Source organism: Homo sapiens, chromosome 3, assembly GCF_000001405.40.
Source record: "Homo sapiens chromosome 3, GRCh38.p14 Primary Assembly".
In the NCBI taxonomy this organism is placed as follows: Eukaryota; Metazoa; Chordata; class Mammalia; order Primates; family Hominidae; genus Homo; species Homo sapiens.
Genome location: NC_000003.12, coordinates 118808560 through 118814559, shown reverse-complemented (window position 1 = coordinate 118814559; position 6000 = coordinate 118808560). Strand labels below are relative to the sequence as shown.

The window sequence follows — 6000 nt, the reverse complement described above, 5'->3', positions numbered from 1 at the left end:
AGTAGCTCTGAAATACAGATGCAAATTCCTTTAGCACCTGAGATATAATGAGTCTGGGTTCTGCTACAAGCTTTTTTCCTTTTAAAATACAATAGTAATTCTTTATTAGAATAGGAATAGCACTAGATAAATTTAAATTTTGTCTAAAAAATTTGAAAGTACTTCTAGATGCATTATCTCGTGTGATCCTACAACCACTTGTGAGGTTTGTGGCACTGGTGTTATTCTCTATTTTAAAGACAAGGAAGCAGACTCAGGGAGGCTAGGTAGCTTGCTCAAAGATCCCACTGTGACCAGTTGGAAGAACCTGGTTCTGCAAACCATGGATCTCTAACTTGACTTTTGAACGTCTTGTTATAAATGTGTTTTATTGTGTGTCTGTTATTTTCAAAAGAAACTAAACTATAGATAGACAAGAATACACACATAACACCCAGACACCCAGACACCCAGACACACACACACACACACACACACACACACAGTGTTGTCCAATAGAATATTCTGTGATGACACAAATTGTTCTATGTCTGTACTATTCAATTCTGGTAGCCATTAGCCACACGTGGCTATAAAGCACTTAAAATGTGGCCAGTGTGACTGAGAAACTGATTTTTCATTTATTTAATTTTAATTGAAATATTGACAGGCTAAAGAAGCTTTTCCCCAGGAGTAAGTGGGGCAGGACTCCTCACCCAGAACTCCTTTCCCCAGGGTTAGGACAATAGCTAAGTCCACCCTCTGGGGGAAGGGAGGGAGAACAATAAAGGGGATACCCCTGACGGCCCTGAACATCCACCTGAAGGAGACTGTTTTAAACCACAAGTGATTGATTGGTGGCTTTATAGGGGCAGGCAAATGGAAATGGGGGCTCGAGAGTATGGGGAATTAAGCTCCATTTCTTCACATCTGAGTCATAATGCGCAAATTTTAAATTCACTGCATGAGCAAACCTCAGGTCCTTTGGGGCTTTTTCCCTGCTGAATTGTTCTTATAGGGTTGTGCAGTCCTGCGTATGAGTCTTTGGTTCTGTGCTCCACTGCTTTCTAATTCTGCACATCTGAAAGTGTGGTTCTCATCAAGGAATTCTCCGTATAGGCAATTGGATTCATTGAAACTGCTTAGAAAGTACAGGCTGGGCGCGGTGGCTCACGCCTGTAATCCCAGCACTTTGGGAGGCCGAGGCAGGCGGATCACGAGGTCAGGAGATTGAGACCACGGTGAAACCCCGTCTCTACTAAAAATACAAAAAATTAGCCGGGCGTGGTGGCGGGCACCTGTAGTCCCAGCTACTCGGGAGGCTGAGGCAGGAGAATGGCGTGAACCCGGGAGGCTGAGCTTGCAGTGAGCCGAGATCGCGCCACTGCACTCCAGCCTAGGCGACAGAGCCAGACTCCGTCTCCACACACAAAAAAGAAAGTACAGAAGGCTTTCTGACCACCCCCATCAGCATCCCCCAGCCAGGGGTCCTACAAGGAAGCAGATGTGGTGTGAAGAACATGGGCTCTGGCACCAGGCTGCCTAGGTTCACATTCCTGCTGTGCCATTTATTAGCTGCATGACCTTGGGCAAGCACTGAAGGGCTCTGTGCCTCCATTTCCTCATCTGTAAAATGGAGGTGATTAATAATAGTGCCCACCTCATAGGGTGAATATATTTAATAGTACCCAGCACAGTGACTACCATATCAGTATTTATTGTTAATATGGTTGTTTTAGGTTCAGCTCCACTTTGGTCTCAAGGGCCAATTATGTTTCCAGGAAAGGCAGGGAGATTTAAGGAACACTATCTTTTCTTTCAGCAGCTGTACAATGAGAGCTTTACTCCAAGTCCTGGCCTACACAGCAGGGTGCTTACCTAGTTCCTGGAGTCTTATCCCGGGTGCTCAGACACCATGAGGCAGCCTCTAGCTGCAGTGAGTCTTTTTCAGGCCTGACCCCTGTCTGACTGCTGGTGGCCCATGCCAAACTCTTATGATGCTCACAACACCTGCATACACTTCTGCTGTCGAATTCTAAAAGCTTGGTCCACTGCCCCACTCTGGTGGGTTTGTCCATTTCCTAGGTTCCAACATCTTGGTTGTCTGCTCCCTCTGGCCTCTCAGCATGTTTCCTTTTTATTTTAAACAGGCATTATTTTGGGGGTCTCCAATGTACCAGACACTGTACTAAATGCTGGAGATACAGATTTTCATAATTTTTGGAGTCTCCAAAAATGGTTGCTAATTTGTACTCTAAAGGATGAAATACTGAGTGTCACCACTCCCTTGACGGCTACTTTACCTTTAGAGAGACATACCTCAATAGCCATAGGTGGGAAGGAAAAGGGAAGCTAAAATTCAAAGAGCTGACATCACCAGGACTTCTATCTCTTATTTCACATTTGTCCTGCTTCCTGACTCCATCCACCTACCCTTTGCAAAGGATGGTGTGTGGTCAGGATGAGATGAATGGAATCCCGAATCTTATCTACAGCAATCCACCAAAATGGGAATAGTATGGTGTAGTGGAACTCCCAAATTTTGAAATGTGTATGTAACTCTCCAGTTTTGAAATGTGTATGTAAAATCTTGAATTTATACATTAGATCCTTGTTTCAGATCTACGACTCTGCTTGTTTGTGGTCTAATCAGTTATTCAATAAAAATTTACAGAGAGAATCATGAAGACACACACCCACAAACATGCCTTTTTGGCTTATTTGCTTTTTTAAATATAAGCAGTTTAACCTGGGCATTATTTACCAGGTACTGTCTTTGAGGAAAGAGATGTAGGTTCGAAAAATTTATTGGCTCTGGAAGTTCAGTCCCCGCTGGAGGAACCCAAGAGGGCAGTGGTGAAAACTTCAAGGTTGGGAGATGATTGTGGATGAAGGAAAATGTAAACTCTAGTGGATATTTACACTACTAAGAAATGCCAGTACTTGGAACAGAGCAGAGAAACAAACAGAAGGGGTAAGAACAAAAGGAAAAAAAACCAACCCTGCTTGTTAATATGTATATTTTACATGGCATCTTTGAAGATGAAGCTACCGCTTACATTGCTTTACTCCAATTCACTGAGTTTTACAAGACCACAGGGGGACGTGTTCCAGTTTGAACAAGCTGAAAATGTCTTAAAGCTGACAGAATAATGAGTATTTTTTCTTTGTTTAATATTTTTGATCCAGATCGGATAACTGTGGTTTCTGTCATTTCTATCCAACATGCCTTTTGCTATTTTTCAGCTGTGTTTCTTTGACTTACTAGAACATTTAATTTCTTGCATGTATAAAAAGAAAGCCAAATAAAAGTAATTATTTCAAGTTATTATTAAACAATTTCCAAAATCATGCATTGAATATTTGATTCTCGGGCTAGCTAGTTAATGTTAAAACTGATGGTTCTGATGGAATATTTTTTCTCTTTCTTTTTCACTTTGTTCTAGCTGTATTTCTATTCTTGATTTGAAGATTAAACTGTCACTGATATTTGGTCTTCCACACCTGGATAGTCAGAAGGGGACAGAGGGAAATCTTTTCAGGACAAAGGTGTATCTAGATAAGCCCATTTGGGATTGGATTTGAAATAGGTAACTGATATGGCTTGGCTCTGTGTCCCCCGCAAATCTCATCTTGAATTGTAATCCCCACGTGTGAGGGCAGGACCTGGTGGGAGGTGATTGGATCATGGGGGCGGTTCCCCCATGCTGTTCTCGTTATAGGGAGGGAGTTCTCACGAGATCTGATGATTTTAAAAATGGCAGTTTCCCCTGCGCTTTTTCTCTCTCCTGTGCCTTGTGAAGAAAGTGCCTGCTTCGCCTTCACCTTCGGCCATGATTGTAAGTTTCCTGAGGCCTTCTCCGCCTGCAGAGCTGTGAGTCAATTAAACTTCTTTTGTTTCTAAATTACTCAGTCTCAGGTAGTATCTTTATAGCAGTGTGAAAGCGGACTAATACAGTAACAGAGTCAACACATGGAAAATGATTTTTTATTTTTGCTGGCCCTGAGATGACTGGTTTTCAGAGAGAGCTTTATTCATAGCATATTTATTATTATTATTATTCATTGTTGCAATTTATTAATTTCCTAATGTGTGCTATGAAACGAGGTTCAGAGAAGTTAGGTAATTTGTCTAAGGTCACTCAGCTGCTGTGAAAACCCAGCTTTATTTGTTTCCAAAGCTTGTTCTTGTTTCACAGCGCACTTTCTCTGTTTTTAAACTTGGGGACTTTATATCAGAAATCCCCTAAAGGCCTAGATATTTTTGCCTTTCAGTGTAGGACTTTGGGAGGGATTAGGTCATGAGAGTGCAGGGTTTTTTTTTTTGTTTTGTTCTGTTTTTTTTTTTTTTTTGACAGTGATATGGTTTCGCTGTGTCCCCCCACCCAAATCTCATCTTGAATTGTAGCTCTTGTAACTCCCACGTGTTGTGGGAGGTACCCAGTGGGAGATAATTGAATCATGGAGGCTGTTTCCCTCATATAGTTCTTGTGGTAGTGAATAAGTCTCATGAGATCTGATGGTTTTATAAGGGGAAATCCCTTTTGTTTGGTTCTCATTCTCTTTCTTGCCTGCCACAATGTAAGACGTGCCTTTCACCTTTACCATGATTGTGAGGCCTCCCTAGCCACGTGGAACTGTGAGTCCATTAAACCTCTTTTTCTTTATTGATTATCCAGTCTCAGGTATGTTTTTATCAGCAGTGTGAAAATGGACTAATACAGACAGGGCGTGGTTCTGTTGCCGAGGCTGGAGTGCAGTGGAACCATCATAGCTCACTACAATCTTCCCCTCCCGGGCTCAAGCCAGTTTCTGACCTCAGCCTTCCAAGTAGCTGGGACTACAGGCATGTACCACTATGCCTGGCTAATTTTTGTATTTTTTGCAAATACAAATGGGGTCTCACCATGTTGCCCAGGCTGGTCTCAAACTCCTGAGCTCAAGTGATCCTCCCACCTCAGCCTCCCAAAGTGTTAGGACTACATACATGAGCCACAGTGGCTTGGCCTAGGGTGGAGCTTTGATGAACGGGATTTGTGCCCTAAAAAAAAGGGACCCATGAGAGCTCTATATAGCCCTCTTTCTTCCAAGTAAGGATACAATGAGAAGTCAGCAGCCTGCAACCCGAAGCGGCCCCTCACCAGAATCTGACCATGCTGGAACCCTGATGATGGGTGCTCCAGCCTCTAGGACTGTGAGGAATACATGTCTGTTGTTTATAAGCCACCTAGTTTATGGTACTTTCTTATAGAAGTCCTAACTGACAAAGACAAGTGCTATTTTGCCCTTCTTTGTAATTTACAAAGAAGTTCATCTGTCTCACTTCATTTTTGCTTGGCAGGAGTATTTGATTCAATTTTACAGATGAGGACAGAGAAGCTAGAATATATTCTAGAATCTGTTGTCCTTTCCACCTCTCTGGGTGCAAGAACACATGTGCCAGGCCTTGTACCTTGGACTTATCTAGGAGCATCAAACCAGGAGACAGGCAAGAGGGTCTCTGCCCTGGGCCTGGCCCTCACCTGCATCCTCTGGAGCTTCCTGTGCAATCTCATTTGGCTTCTCTGTCCCTGCTATTGCTCTCTGCTTGTGTTGCTTGCCTGTGAGTCAAGACCTATTGCAGTTCCACTGGTTGCCTCCTGTGTATGCATCAACATTCCACACTTGTCAAGTGTCAAGTCTTCGTTCCTATCCTTCCCATCTCGTTAGGCTTTGTTCTGTTTCCTTTATCATTGTTTGCTGGTTGCAACAGCAGCTTGCAGCCCAGTTATGCTCTGTGGCATTTCAGGGGCGTGATGAGGTAGATTGCGGGGCGGGGTGGGGGTGGGGGTGGGAAGAAAACTAACTCAGCGACTGGGACTCTGGTCTCACTGGCTGTGTGGTCCTGAGAGTTCATTTTTTTCTCTCTGTGCCCCATTCTTTTATTGTTAGAATAGGGTCACTGAGTTTCTCCCTGGTACTAACATGCTCTGGCTCAAATGTGATGTTTGTGGAAGGTTAGAGGCTCACCTCCTCAACTTT

General features: G+C 43.3%; 1 long non-coding RNA gene across 1 annotated transcript in view, besides 2 other annotated features; it reads left to right on the top strand.

Annotated features, from left to right (window-relative positions):
- Positions 811–870: an enhancer, noted in NCBI's record as "active region_20292". NCBI's record gives its function as "activates an Ori minimal core promoter by ATAC-STARR-seq in GM12878 lymphoblastoid cells {active_cell/tissue: GM12878}" and the evidence as "EXISTENCE:reporter gene assay evidence [ECO:0000049][PMID:35858748]".
- Positions 3727–6000, top strand: part of LOC105374060 (uncharacterized) — a 302423-nt gene continuing 300149 nt past the window's right edge. The window contains exon 1 of the long non-coding RNA NR_135547.1: positions 3727–3853. This is a non-coding gene — a long non-coding RNA (uncharacterized LOC105374060). The remainder of the gene's footprint in view (positions 3854–6000) is intronic.
- Positions 5504–5713: an enhancer, noted in NCBI's record as "active region_20291". NCBI's record gives its function as "activates an Ori minimal core promoter by ATAC-STARR-seq in GM12878 lymphoblastoid cells {active_cell/tissue: GM12878}" and the evidence as "EXISTENCE:reporter gene assay evidence [ECO:0000049][PMID:35858748]".